The 15,054-nt window shown below is 41.7% G+C and overlaps 1 protein-coding gene, 1 long non-coding RNA gene and 1 pseudogene across 23 annotated transcripts in view; 2 read left to right on the top strand and 1 right to left on the bottom strand.

Annotated features, from left to right (window-relative positions):
• RGS7 (regulator of G protein signaling 7) overlaps positions 1-15,054 on the top strand; it is a 582,489-nt gene that overhangs the window by 519,777 nt on the left and 47,658 nt on the right. For 21 of the 22 annotated variants that reach the window (NM_001374806.1, NM_001374811.1, NM_001374814.1 and 18 more), the window contains one exon: positions 10,282-10,356. The exons of the other annotated variant lie outside the window; for it this stretch is intronic. In NM_001374806.1, coding sequence (NP_001361735.1) covers positions 10,282-10,356 — 75 coding nt within the window. The remainder of the gene's footprint in view (positions 1-10,281; positions 10,357-15,054) is intronic. 22 annotated transcript variants of the gene reach the window in all.
• Positions 4,765-13,882, bottom strand: LOC124904602 (uncharacterized). Its single transcript, XR_007067053.1, has 3 exons — positions 13,845-13,882; positions 12,436-12,552; positions 4,765-4,838 (listed from the first exon to the last, which is right to left on the bottom strand). It is a non-coding gene; the product is annotated as an uncharacterized LOC124904602 (long non-coding RNA).
• Positions 13,782-14,900, top strand: RFKP1 (riboflavin kinase pseudogene 1; annotated as a pseudogene).

The following is a 15,054-nucleotide window of genomic DNA, read 5'->3' as shown; positions in this document are numbered from 1 at the left end:
CCAATATGCCAACCCAGGATATAGAACAAGTTGGAGCACACATGTTCAGTCTCAAATCTAAGAGAGACTTTTTTTCTCATCCAATTGAAACTCTTTGCATGTCCTCACACTGCAGCCAGCTTTTTGTAGGGAAATAATCATAGAAAGGGAAGGACATCAATCGCTCATGTGCGCACAGCAGGCCAGGTGTCACAGGAAAGTGTCCACGCTTACTTGCCTCAGGCCTTTTGTTTCTTCCTGCAGGAGCCCCTATTTTAAAGATAATTATGACAACTTAGCTTCTGCCCAGTGATTTTTTAAATTTCAAAGCAGTTCTAACTGGGAACATTTTAGGTAATTTAAAGCTGAACATTAAACATGGGTAATCCCAGTGACCACAAAGAAGCTATAGCAAATGTACTGGTTAGAGTCCTCTTGGTTGCTCTTTGAGAATGGTACCTGCAAGGCAATTCCTAGTCTATAAAAAGGGAATGTCATTGAAGGATGCACAGATAGTTGCTAGATGTGAGGCTGAAGTGGTCTGATTTCAATTAGAGCAGATTAATAGAATGTGGTAGGACTACAGAAAATTTAGGAAAGTGTAGCAGAGACTCTGAGTAATGAGAGACAGCTCCACCAAATTCTCAGGAATTGATCATCATGTTTTAATGTTGCAGATTCAATGATATGTTCATACCACCAGTGATAATGCAAAAACGCAATGGCACAAAAGGACAGGCCAAGGGCAAATGATTATACAGGCATTTGTGTTGGAAATGCTCTGATTCGTGATCTTCATAGAGACTGCATAAAGAGTTGCATTCCCTTTGGAGACTTCAGCAAATACAAACATTGTATGTAAATACAACCCAGGGATCATTTTGGATTCCTCTCTTCTTTTCACAGGCTTTCCCATCTCAGCAGATGGCATGGGAGTCATCCTTGATATTCTGTTTCCTTCAGCATGCCCACAGACAAAACCCATCAGCAAGTTTTGTTGATTATAGCTTCAAAATGCATCCCAGATGCAACCACTTCACATCATCTCTAGTGCTGGCAGGCAAACCCACGTCACCATAATCTCTTGCCTGAATAATTGCAGTAACCTTCAAACTGGGCCCCTTGCTTCTGCTTTGCCCTGTTCCCACCCTGATAATCCACTCTCAAAGTGCTCAATATTCTTGAATGAGTTGTTTGTTTGGTTGCTTTTTAATCAATTTTATTTTTTAGAGCAGTTTTGGTTCACAGCAAAATTAAGTGGAAAGTACTGAATTCCCCAGCAACCTCTCCCCGGCCCACAGCCGCCCCCATTATCAACCCCCCACCCCCAACCCCACCAGAGCGGTACATTTGTTGTAATCGATTAACCGACACTGATATATCATTATCACCTGCACTCTGTAGTTTACATTAGAGTTCACTGTTGATGTTGTACATTCTATGGTTTTGACAAATGTATAATGACATGTATTCACTATTGTAGTGTCATACAGTTTCACTACCCTAAAATTTCTCCGTGCTGGGCCTATTTATTCCCAACCCTTGGCAACCACTGATCTGGAAAAGGCAAAACTATTTGTCTCCATCGTTTCGCCTTTTCCAGAATGTCATATGATTGGAATCGTACAATCTGTGGCTTTTTCAGATTGGCTTCTTTCACTTAGTAATACGCACGTAAGGTTCCTCCTTGTCTTTTTGTGGCTTAATGGCTCATTTCTTTTTAATGCTGAATAATATTCCATTGTCTGGGTGTACCACAGTTTATACATTCACCTACTAAAGGACATCTTGGTTGCTTTGAAGTTTCGGCAATTATGAAGAACAAGCTGCTAGAAACATCCGTGTACAGGTTTTTTTGTGAACATAAGTTTTCGACTCAATTTGGGTAAATGCCAATGAGGATGATTGCTGGATCGAATGGTTAGAGTGTTTTGTAAGAAACTGCCAAACCGTCTTGCAAAGTGGCTGAACCATTTTGCATTCCCACTGGCAATGAATGAGAATCTCTGTGGCTCCACATTCTTGCCAGCAATTGGTGTTTTCAGCGTTCTGGATTTTGGCAATTCTAATAGGTGTGTAGTGGTATCTCGTTATTTCAATTTGCGTTTTCCCAATGACATACGATGTGGAGCATCTTTGTATAAATGTATTTGCCATCTGTATATTTTCTTTGGTGAGGTGCCTGTTCAGATCATCTGTCCATATGTTAATTGGGTTGTGGTATCTTCTTATTGTTGGGTTTTAAGAGTTCTTTACTTATTTTGGATAATAACCTTGCCTATTTTTTTTCCAGTTTGTGGCCTGTCTTCTCATTCTCTTGACAGTATCTTTCACAGAACAGAAGTTTTTAATTTTAATGAAATCCAAGTTACCAATTATTTCTTTCATGGATTGTGCCTTCGATAGGGTATCTAAAAAGTCATCACCCAACTCAAGGTCACCTAGATGTTCTCCTGTTATTTTCTAAAAATTTTATAATTTAGCATTTTACATTTAGGTTTATGATTCATTTTGAGTTTGTGTGTGTGTGTGTGTGTGTGTGTGTGTGTGTGTGTGTGGAGTGTAAGGTCTGAATGAGTTTTGAAAAATAAATCATATGAAGTCACTCTCCTGTTTAAAACTCTCCAGTGGCTTCCAATTATGTTTAGAATTAAGCCAAAGTCGGGCTGGGCGCGGTGGCTCAAGCCTGTAATCTCAGCATTTTGGGAGGCCGAGGCGGGCGGATCACGAGGTCAGGAGATGGAGACCATCCTGGCTAACACGGTGAAACCCCGTCTCTACTAAAAATACAAAAAAATTAGCTGGGCGTGGTGGCGGACACCTGTAGTCCCAGCTACTCGGGAGGCTGAGGCAGGAGAATGGCGTGAACCCGGGAGGCGGAGCTTGCAGTGAGCCGAGGTCACGCCCCTGCACTCCAGTCTGGGCGGTGGAGCGAGACTCCATCTCAAAACAAACAAACAAAAAAAACCTTAAAAATAAAAATAAAGAATTAAACCAAAGTCCTTACCACCTTATCATGGTCTGTGACTTCTACTCAACCTGCCCACTTTCCACAGCTTCAGGCTGACTTCGTATGATTCTGTTTCCTTCTGCCTCTTGGATGTGTGGAGTTCATTCACAGCATACACTGAAGCAAGATATCATACCCAAGAGTCTGTAGCTAGCAAATGAGGCCTAATAGGAATCAAATGAGTAAATACTATAGAGAAGAGTGAATGGAAGAAATTTGGAGCAATTTCCTCAAACAACTTTCTTCAGTTTGTGCGTAGGACTTAGTAAGTAGATGGGTCGGGAGGAGGAGGGCTGAAAGGATCAGAGGCTGAATCAACTGACAACTGCCTAAGAAAATGAAGAAAAGCTTGAATTGGATCTTTAAAAAAAGAATCCTGGCTAGGCACAGTGCTTCGCACCTGTAATACCAGAGCTTTAGGAGGCTGAGATGGGAGGACTGCTTGAGGCCAGGAGTTGGAGACCAGCCTGGGCAACGGAGCAAGACCCTGTCTCTACTAAAAATTAAAAATAAAATATTAGCCAGACATGGTGGCACTCACCTGTAGTACCAGCTACTCAAGAGGCTGAGACAAGAGGATTGCTTGAGCCCAGGAAGTCAAGGCTATAGTGAGCTGTGATTGCACCACTGCATTCCAGCCTGGGCCAAAAAAAAAAAAGTCCTGAGACTGAACACTTTAAAATCTATAGTTACTTCATGTAAGTGAACACTTTAAAATCTATAATTACTTCATGTAAGAATAAGGGATCATTCTTACTGGGGTACTATGGATCATGCATGCAGTTTTTATAACTTGTACTGTATTACAAAGCGGTGACTCTTTTTCATTAATTTACTTCTATTTGAATTAATATATATACAGATGCTCCTTGACCTACAATGGGGTTATGTCCCAATAAAGCCACTGTAAGCCAAAAATATAGTAAGTCAAAAATGCATTTAATACTCTAATAAACTCACAGTAAGGGTGAAAAATTTTAAGTTGAGCCATAGTAAGTCAGGGACCATCTAAATACAGTAGCTCCCCCTTATCTATGGTTGCACTCTGTGGTTTCAGTTACCCACAGTCAACTGCAGTCCAAAAATATTAAATGGAAAATTCAAGAAACAATGCATAAGTTTGTAATTTCGTGCCATTCTGAGTAGCATGATGAAATCTCGTCTATCCCATTCTGCCCCACCTGGAACATGAGTCACCCCTTTGTCCAGCAGATCCACGCTGTCTGTGGTACCCACCTGTTAGGCACTTAGTAGTCTTCTAGGTTATCAGATCGACTGTCCTGGTATTGCAGTGCTTGTGTTCGAGTCACCCTTACTTTACTTCAGAATGACCCCAAAGCCCAAGCGCAGTGAGGCTGGCATATTTTATTATTTTATTATTACTTATTGTTGTTTTCTATTTTATTATTAGTTATTGTTGTTAATTTCTTATTGTTCCTAATTTATAAGTTAAACTTTATGATAAGCATGTGTATATATAAGAAAAACAGCATATATAGGGTTTGGTACTATCCGTGGTTTCAGGCATCTCTTTTGTGGGGGTGGGCAGTAGTAAAACATATCCCCCCAGGATAAGGGGGGACTATGCATATTTGAAACCTGAATTTTCCCAGAATCATGATTTTTTAAAACTTTCTAGGGTGTACTTGATGTCTTGCTATCAGCTCTATTTGATGGTGCATTTCTAATCCTCCACTCACCTGTCGTTTAGGACACTGTTCTCCCAGGTACACATCAGCTGCAGTGATGGAACTTAAACACAGCTGTTCTGTATTCCTCTCTCTCACTGTCGCTCTTCACCACAGGCTTTGCCGAGTTGTCTTGAACACAAGTGTACCTTCTGCTATAACTAACAAAAATGTACTATCGCATGAAAGGAACTAAATGGCATTTAGATGCTTTTACTTAAAATATCAATAATGAAACCAAAAACTCCAGCTTCTCTTTTGCACCTCATGAGGACACTCACGTAAATGTTATGACAGTAGTATTTCTCAATGATATGCTCCGTTTACTCCCTCAGGAGTGGCTTCCACAATGTTAAATCCTACTTTATAATAAATAACGTTATAATAATGTTGCAACCCAGCTTAGTTCGGTTGAAAAGAAATTCATCTTTGAATCACTAGAAATAACACAATTCTCTTCCAGGCTGATGTAAATAGCATTTCATTATTCCTTACATCCAACAATACTATGTGCTTAATACTGTATCCAGCAAATAGTATATATTTGAAGATTTTAATGGAATGTCTACTTGGTAATGGTAATGTTATTTATATCTTATTGGGAAGATAGATTTGTTTAGCTCTGCAGAAACCAATTTTACGAATTTCACGAAGGTCTGGTGCCAGCTAGTGGTACCTATTATATATGCATCAAAAAGATGATTGACTTTTTTTTAAATAACCAAAGACAACATGGTCTCATCGAGATTGAAAAATTGCTTAAAAATAACTTTTAAAGGAATAGTGTTTGCCATGTTGAGGAGAACCAACAGACTGTGCATAAAAATGGATGTCTGTCTTGGCCATGCACAGTGACTCATGCCTGTAATTCCAGCACTTCGGGAGGCCAAGGCGGGTGGATCACCTGAGGTCAGGAGTTCGAGACCAGCCTGGCCAACATGGCAAAACCTTGTCTCTACTAAAAATACAAAAAATTAGCTGGGTGTGGTGGCACCCGCCTGTAATCCCAGCTACTCAGAAGGCTGAGACAGGAGAATCACTTGAACCCAGGAGGCAGCGGTTGCAGTGAGCCGAGATTGCGCCATTGCACTCCAGCCTGGGCAACAAGAGTGAAACTCCGTCTCAGGAAAAAAAAAAAAAAAAAAAGGATGTCTGGAATGTTCTGTTGTCATGTAATGCTCTGTGCCAACTTCCACTTAGTCATTATGCTCCCATATTCTGATTATTCATGTGTCTGTCGTTTTTATTGTATCAGGAAGTTACTGGGATAGGGCTCGTGCCTTCATTTCTGTAACTCACCATTTGTCACAAGATCCGACAATTAGATGCAGAAAGAAATATTTATTGAATACATAAGAGAATTCAAGAAAAATTATTGCCATATTTCACTTACCACAGTGCATGACTTCTGAAAGCAGTTATTCAGGGGTTATCAGCACTGGGTCATGACCTTAATTATTCAGAAGTATTCCAGGCAACTTTGGGCCTCTAAGCTTTTTTAATCTTCAAGAATTTCCTAGTTGACTTAGATATCATAGATCTGTTGAACCATTAGCTGTCCCATGAGGCCTCATTAGAAATTACAGGGCCTCCGAGACAAGCATCCCAGATCCAGCTTACTATTTTAACCATTTAGTCATTAGTAACAAACTTTGAACTGGCAGATTTCATTTTCCTGGGATGGGAGCCGGGTTATAAAACATATCTTACCGTTCAGTCTCTAATGACATTTACTTTTAAAATCAATGCTTTCTTATTAATTTGCTGATTAGTGGTGTTAATAATTGGCTCAAGTGGGAATTTCAGATGTAAGCTAATGGTTCATTAATCAAATTTAAAAGGCCATCATCTTTTAAATATGAGGATGAAACTTCTAATTTCCTTCAGGACTGACAGTCAGATATGTTCCTCTGGGGAGGGGAATCTTTCCACTTTATGCCTTCAATGGTTGACACGATTTCCAGGGCCATTTGTTAATTATGACCCCTGGTATGAAGTAAAATTGATTTGGAATCCTAGCTCTTTATGGAAGGAGTTTAGAGTTCAAATTAGTTCAGCTTCCTCAGATGTATAAAGAAAATACAGTTTCTTTATTTTCTATAATTGACATAGTTTTCTCAGAAACCTATTTGAAGGGTAGGTTTCAACGCATGTGCTCTGCATGCCACCATAATTGAAATAGTTGGTTTAGATGACTCGGTCATTTGTGGATAAATGATTACATTTTCAGTTTTCTCGGCCTTTCTCTGCTGCTATCCAGGATTGGTTTGGAAGAGAGTTTGGGGTCTAGAGGTTTTGTTTTTACAGTCTTGTGCAGTGGGGCCAGAGGGCCAAGCACCCCCAGAACATCTTCCAGATCCTTGTCGATTTCTGCTATAGACAGGTTTGCATGTTGCAACAGGTACCATCTCATCACCTGGAACTCACTGCTGAAGTTTGTGTTTCAGACATCTGCTTCCAGCATAAAATCCCTGCACACTGCAGCCTTTGTCCCAACTTCAGGCTCCCATCCACCCACTATTCTTAGATCTTCTGTGCCTTTTACTACTGTGGCATGCAAGAAACTCCGGATGGCTTGACTGCCACATAAGAGGCTTGGGAAGCATTTTCTTAAGCTCATCTTTCTTGCTAACACCCATATGATATAAAATTCATGTTGGCTCGGATTGCATGTGGGGCTTCTTCTATGGGAATGGGACTGACTACTTCACAGGCTTCCTCATACTTGTCTGGGACTTTTTATTCCTCCCTATCACCTCTTCTTCTTCGAGTTTCTTCCACAGAGGAGAAAAATGAAACACCTGCTGAGCTCAGTATCTTACCTTTATCTTTCTTTGCCTCCAGGTCATGAAGAAACATGCTTTCCTTTTCCTGGATATTATATCCTAATTTTTCCCACCCCTTAACATATGGAAGAAAATCTCTATGACACATCTTATCATACTTGGCTCTTTAAAAAAAAGAAAAAGAAAGACAGAGAGAGACAGAATCTCACCCTATCACCCAGGCTGGAGTGTGGTGGCTCAGTCACAGCTCACTGCAGCCTCAAACTCCTCAAAGCAAGTGATCCTCCCACCTCAGCCTCTCCAAATGCTGAGATTACAGGCATAAGCCACTGCACCTGGCACTGTGCTTGGCTCCTGATATGTTGATAGGAGTTTAAAGAATTTTACTGCCTTCCCTTCCGTTATGGCTCAGGCTTAGGGATGGAAGGCTGCAAAGAAATAGAAATCGAATGGAAAGTGAAAACTCGATCCTTTAATGTTTTAAAAACCTTGTCTTTGTTACACCTACATCAGTGGTTGTGAACTCCGGCTGCAGATTAAAATCCCCGGGGGTCTTTTTAAAAAACAAATGCTTAGACCAACCATAAAAAAAAATCAAACCACAATATCACATACTCAGCAACCAGATGCTGGGAGAGTTTAGTGAATTGCTCAGTGTCACTTAGGAAATTAGTCCCACCCAGCTGGGTGCCCTTCCTCCCTCCTACACTGCCAAGCTGACCACTGTGCTGAACCAGTGATTTCTATTCCTAAATAGATATGCAAACCAAACTCATAATTTATTTAATGTTTGTAGTACAGTGTGTGTGTGTGTATCTGTAGTATATACATATTCTACAAAAAAAAATGTTTTCCTCATTTACTTCCTTATCTATTATAATATTATGGCGGAGTTTTGGCCCAATGGCTATACTAGCAGGAGATGGTTCTTTAAGGAAAGTGTCCTCTGTCCTCATTACACAATGAACTGATTCCCGTTACTGTAGTGAACAGCTGAGTCTGCCAATCACATCAGCTCTGCCTTTTTGCCCTTTCTTCCCAACCCCACCCCAACTCCACGGAAGACTTTTCCGTATTCACAGTTTCTCTGGAGTCACTTCTAAGGACATCTAATGCTTTAATTTCTTGCAGTCTGTGGGAAGAAATAGAGAAATTGAGCAGAGACATGCAACTTGATGGTTTGTTTGTTTGTTTGTCTGTTTTGAGATGGAGTTTCTCTCTTGTTGCCCAGGCTAGCGTGCATTGGCGCAATCTTGGCTCACTGCAACCTCCACCTCCTGGGCTCAAGCCATTATCCTGCCTCAGCCTCCAGAGAAGCTGGGACTACAGGCGCCTGCCACCATGTCCTGCTAATTTTTGTATTTTCAGTAGAGATGGGGTTTCACCATGTTGGCCAGGCTGGTCTTGAACTCCTGACCTCATGATCCATCCACCTTGGCTTCCCAAAGTGCTGGGGTTACAGGCGTGAGCCACCGCACCTGGCCGATGTTTTTTACTAATACCAGAGATCGTTAAATCCTGCACCAAAAGTAAAGGAAACACAGTCCATGTAGCCATTAACTTCTCATCACTTCTAAAGGATGTGTGATGTCTAAGCCCTTTCTACATTTAAGCTACTATGTATTTTTGAATCTCCTGTCTTCTCTGTTTCGTGATTCATGTTCTCTCCCTTCCCCTCTTCTTCCTCCCTCCTCCCCTCTCCTCCTCCAAATATACAAGGAGCTTGCATCTATTTGTTTCTGTACAACAGAACAATAAATCTGACAAATGAGACACCTGAGGTTGTCAGGAAGCTAACAGCAGGCTGCCTATACTTCATCAACCCCTCTGTTTTAAAGGGGTTCACCTGCCCTTAAGGAAAAGGAAGGTCAGGAATTTATCAGAAGAAGCATGGCATCTTATTTACCAGTTTCTTTCTCCATCTTTCACATTTTAACCATGAACTCCATTGCACATTCTGTCTATGGCAAACAAGGATTCCTAGTTGCTGGGTTTCACAATCCTTGTAAGACAGTTCATTCTGGGATGTGAGCTGGCTCAACTAAATGCCATTTTAGTCTTCCAGCCTGGGAAAAGCAAGGCACCCATCTAATAACAGCCTGTTTTTTTTTTTTTTTTTTTTTTTTGCAATGGAGTTTTGCTCTTGTTGCCCAGGCTGGAGTGCAATGGTGTGATCTTGACTCACTGCAACCTCCACCTCCCGGGTTCAAGTGATTCTCCTGCCTCAGCCTCCTAAGTATCTGGGATTACAGGCACCCGCCACCACGCCCAGCTAATTTTTTGTATTTTTAGTAGAGACAGGGTTTCACCATATTGGTCAGGCTGGTCTCGAACTCCTTACCTCAGGTGATCCACCCACCTCAGCTTCCCAAAGTGCTGGGATTACAGGCATGAGTCACTGCGCCCGGCCCAGCCTCACTTTTTATAAAGAGAGATCTCTGCGAGAGGCTGTCTGCAGAAAACCAGCAAGGGGTATCTCTTTGTCCAGGAGTGCCCTCACTCTGTCTGTCGGGTTTGTCGCTATACGTATTGACACCACTTTCACATGTGCAGTCCGAGTATTTCTTTTTCCTGTTTCTCTGGGAGTTATTTGAGGATAGCATCTGAAGGCTTTTAAGTGTGAAGAGTTAAGAAGTATCATGTCTTTTATGACTGGCTACTGCTGATGGGACTGGCTGTGGCCATCTAGAAAACACCTCCCTTGATTTGTGTCATTGGGGCATTTGCTCGGGCTCTGGAGAGCGAGCCATTCATGATTGTCCTGGTCAGAAATTTCACACCCAAAGATTCATTTGTCTCTCTGTTTTTCCATTCCCAGCCTGGATGTGTAAATACAACTGAAGTGGACATTAAGAAGTCATCCAGAATGAGAAACCCCCACAAAACACGGAAGGTAAAACTGTCATTTGTTGTGCTGATCTTGGTGATGGATTGCATTGTTTACAGGACGTCAGCCATAAAAACACTTTCTTCTCATGTCATGCAGTATCTTTCCCACTCTTCCCAGCCTTCCACAGCCCTCCCTTCCTCAAGAATAGCCCCACCCTAATGCTCAAGCACACCAGGGTCCCAAGACAGAGCGGTGGTCATGACTGACTGAGACGAGAGGAACAGGATTTCTAAGGAAATCATCTTTAGAAAACCTGATACTGATGAGAGAAGGGCATTTTAAAACCTGAGGAAAGGGGGACATCTAAAAGATATTTAATTCCAGAAAGAGTGCAGGGGCCCCTCTTAACACTAGAATTTTGTGATACAACCATAAGACAGTGGTTGTATTTCAGTGTTTGTTATCTGAGAGAATATCGGTGTGCAGGGTGTGGGGGAAGCTATTCTGAGTCCAGTGACATTTTAAATAACCCTTTGAAAATGCACAGCAATAGTTTCTACATATTTTTTAAAGCAACACGTACAACTAGAAGGCATTTTTATTCATTCTATAAAACACGCTTGATGTACACAAGAATTTCTGGCCTGTAGCAGTCGCTTTGAGAACACAGCTTATAGATTGGTGCTGCTGGATTAATACATTCCACAAAGTTCAAGGTCTTTTTTCTGTGGCCATTTCCTTAGTATTTCGTTAGCCATCGTGTTTTCCAGAGTCTGTGTCCCTGTAGTAAGCACTCAATATTTTTTTCTAGTCTTATTTTGTGTTGCCATTTTCTCCCATCCCTAGAAACATACCATCATGTTCAAAGGCCCCAATATGGTCCAAGTACCTTTTCTTTCTTTTAAGGCAGTTTACCTTGATGTTAGGATAAAGAAGCTGAAGCAAAGCACCACAAAACCAATTCGGATGCGGTGCTCAAATGCTTCTGCCCGTAGGAACTCTCCAAGAGAGAGGCGAAGCCAGACCAAAGCAAGCCTGTCTGGTCTGTCTCTCTGGTGGCTGGCCCAACTTAATTGCTTTCATCCTCTGCTCACAGCACATCCTGAGGGCACCAAGAACTATTTTTGCAGAACAAGATTCAAAAATGCTATCGGCTCTCCAAAAAGTGCATTAAGCCACCTCTCTCCACTTTCTGAATAGTGAAATTACTCTTCGAAATACTTTATTGGGTGTCCTGTTTCCCCCAACAGACCCTAACACAGACATGCTGTGATTCAGAAGAGAATGCATATGGATTAACAAGATAGCACCTAGACACAATAAAGTCATCATTTATACTCTCTCTTCGGCACCATATTCAGTATAGATCATCTTTCTCGTGTTTCACATGGCACCCTTCTTTTTGAACACTTGAGAAGCATTAGTTTACAATGTCGTTCTTTACATACCATCAGCCCTCATTTAATGATGAAAAGCCCATGAGGCATTGCAAGGTGAAATATTGTAAAGAAACAGAGTCATTGAGATCTAGCTCTCTTTGTCTCGATAACATCTAATTTCTTGTGAATCAGTAACAACAGAATGACAGGGCCTCACTCCAGAGCTGTCTAGCGCTAACATTTGCCAGAAGAAAACAAAAGTCCTGAAAAATCTGACAGCAAATAACAGGTATACCCTTATTTTCCACAGTTGGAGAAAACGGATTTTTCTCACCTTTTGATAAATGTAGCTTCTCACAGTCAGAAGTGTTCAATTTGCTAGAATCTTCGCAGATGATAATGTTATTTTACATGGAAGGTTATCCGACTCCAAGCCACATACTAATATTTTTTAGAAGTATCACCACTGATACTTTAGCTCATAGTTGTTTAGGAACTGTAATGATCCACTGAATTAGCAAAATTAAGGAGTCTGTACTCTATGCCAGACATGTCCTGGGCTTTAGGTACTCCACAGTAAATGGGACAGTCAGGGCCTTGCTCCCCTAATTCATGGTCTCATAAGGGTGCAGGTGTTGAGCAAGGAGATAAATGTCTGTACATGGATATAAGTATATGATTTTGTTAAGCTTCATGTAGTCTGCCGGGGCCGCCTTAACAAAATGCCACAAACTAGGTGGTTTAAACAGTAGGAATTTGTTACCTCATAGTTACGGAAACTAGAAGTTCGAGATCAGGGTGGTGGCAAGTTCAGTTCCTGTGGAGTGTCTCTTCCTGCTTGGGGATGGCTGCCTTCTTCTCGTGTCCTCAGTGGCTTTTCCTGTGTGTGCATAGAGACAGAGAGAAAAACAAAACAAAACAACCAACTCTGGGGTCTCTTCCTCTTCTTAAAAGGACACCAGTTCTATTGTATTAGTTCCCACCCTATAACCCACCTAACCTTTATTTCCTCTTCACAGGCCTGATCTCCAAATATAGCTATGTTGGGGGATAGGGCTGCAACATAAGAATTTAGGGGAGGGGACACAACTCCGTCCATGACATATGACAAAGGGAGTGTACGTGATTCGTGCTTGTGATTGCCACTGCATTTTGTCAGTGAATACCTTGACAGCAATCAGCAAGCTGTTTCACCACCCTCTGAGGGGTCCACAGCTCTGTATCTGCGGAGCAGGTGACGCTGTGAGATCACAAACCACAGACAGAAATGGCAGAGGCCAGCCAGTTGCCCCTGGAAGCCACCCTTCCCTTCCGCCATAATTGAGCCGTCTCTGTAGCGCCTCCTCCTGGCTGTGTGGTCGGCCTCCATCTTTATACTGTGGCTGCTCAGGAAGTGGAAGCTATGGAACATGCTTAAACTTTGAAAGCAGATAATGCTCGTAGCAAGGAGAGCTGCTGTTCATTTCTTTGGGAGTGAGCTATAATAATTTTTCCTGTAATTACGTGCCGTGACAAGAATAAAGGACCCAGTAAATCCCTAAAGTAACAATCTAGCATAGGTGCCTGAAGAATATCAGAATCATTTCACATTTCATTTGGGAATGTTGTATCTAATTGTTGAATGTTTGACATGTTTATCAAATATAGGAAGCGAAGGCTTTGCTGTATGCATGATTTGAGATATGTTAAGAATCTAAAATTAGTCTATTTTCAAGTCTTTCTTTTTAATTAGAATATACTTTACTACAATATAAGGAAATAGGTAAAAATGTATTATCTCAAGGATCTGTGAAAGAATGATAATGTAGCATAGCCAGAAAGAAATCAGCCTAATCTAAGTAAGTTTGAAGGGGAACTGTCGGTCTGATGTTCTTGAGTCCGATACTAAAATTTTTACTGTAATAGATTCTGTATTAGCCAGAGTTCTCCAGAGAAACCGAACCAGAGACAGAGTGGGGGGCGGGAGGGGGGAGAGAGACAGAGACAGAGATTTATATTAAGGCATTGACTCCCAGGATTACTGAGGCTTGGCGAGTTCAAAATCTCATGGGGGAGGCCACCAGGCTGGAGACCTAGGGAAGAGTGGCAGTTCAAATCCAAAGGCAGTCTGGGGAGACACAGCTCTTGAGTCGCCGGGAAGCTTTTGTTGGGTTGGTTGCCTCAGGGACCCACCGCGGCGTGTCGTCTTGTCGCCAGGCCCCTGGTGCGCCCCCGCGGCAGGCAGAGCTCACGGCCATGTCCCCACCCCACCCCTTGCTGATCCAGGGTCCGGGCACCGCGTCGATGGCGGCTCCGTAGAACGCGCGGACCCGGCCGCAGCCCGTGTCCTGAGCGGACTGGACTATAACGTGAGGCATCTGCCCTGCCTCTGCCGGGCCCAAGTGGTGCGGGGCTTCGGCCGTGGCTCCAGGCCGCTGGGCATCTCCGCAGCTAATTTTCCAGAACAAGTAGTAGCTAATCTTCCAGTTGATGTATCCATTGGCATTTATTATGGTTGGGCCAGTGTCGGAAGTGGAGATGGCCTTTAGGTGGTGGTGAGCATAGGATGGACCCTCTACCACAAGAATACGAAGAAGTCCATGGACACGCTTATCCTGCATACCTTCAAAGAGGACTTCTATGGGGAAATCCCCAATGTGGCCATTGTTGGCTACCTCAGACCAGAAAAGAACTTTGATTCTTTAGACTCACTTATTTCAGCAATTCCAGGTGACATTGAGGAGGCTAAGAAACGACTAGATTTACCAGAACATTTGAAACTCAAGACAATTTCTTCCAGGTTTCTAAAAACAAAATGATGAATAGCCCCTGATGAAAAAAAATGTATTATTTATTCGTTCACTGTTTTCTAGTATTTCGGTGTTTATTACTATCCAGCCTCATCTTGGTTATATTTTAAAACTCAAATGTTTTCCTACAGCTGAAAATTAAACAGTACAGTGTAGTTACCATATCATGCTTCAGCTGTTAAATTAAGGCCATCGTATCATAGCACTAAAAAGATTCTTTTAAAAATCAATATTTAAAAAATATATATTGATTAAAATGTACCACTAGAAATGTATTACATGTCTTATGATGGAAGTGAAATGTATATAAGTATGGGTAAGAAGACAAATCACTAGTTTGAGATGAAAAGTGAAATTTTCATGGTAAAATACCAGCATGTATGTACTTGTATAGCTTGTACTTCTAAACAAAGAAGGCTTATGAAAGTAAATGCATTAAATAGAAGTTTAATAGTTTATCATAAACCTACAGGGAAGAAACCCAGACTTTGTATTTTTGATATTTTGTGCATTATTATTAGAAACGTGAAGATGTTTGTGAAATTTTGTTTTAGTCATTTTCTTTGAAGTCACATCATCGTACCATCTTCATT

This window comes from Homo sapiens, chromosome 1 (genome assembly GCF_000001405.40).
Source record: "Homo sapiens chromosome 1, GRCh38.p14 Primary Assembly".
In the NCBI taxonomy this organism is placed as follows: domain Eukaryota; kingdom Metazoa; phylum Chordata; class Mammalia; order Primates; family Hominidae; genus Homo; species Homo sapiens.
This window is presented reverse-complemented; position numbering and strand designations above follow the sequence as displayed.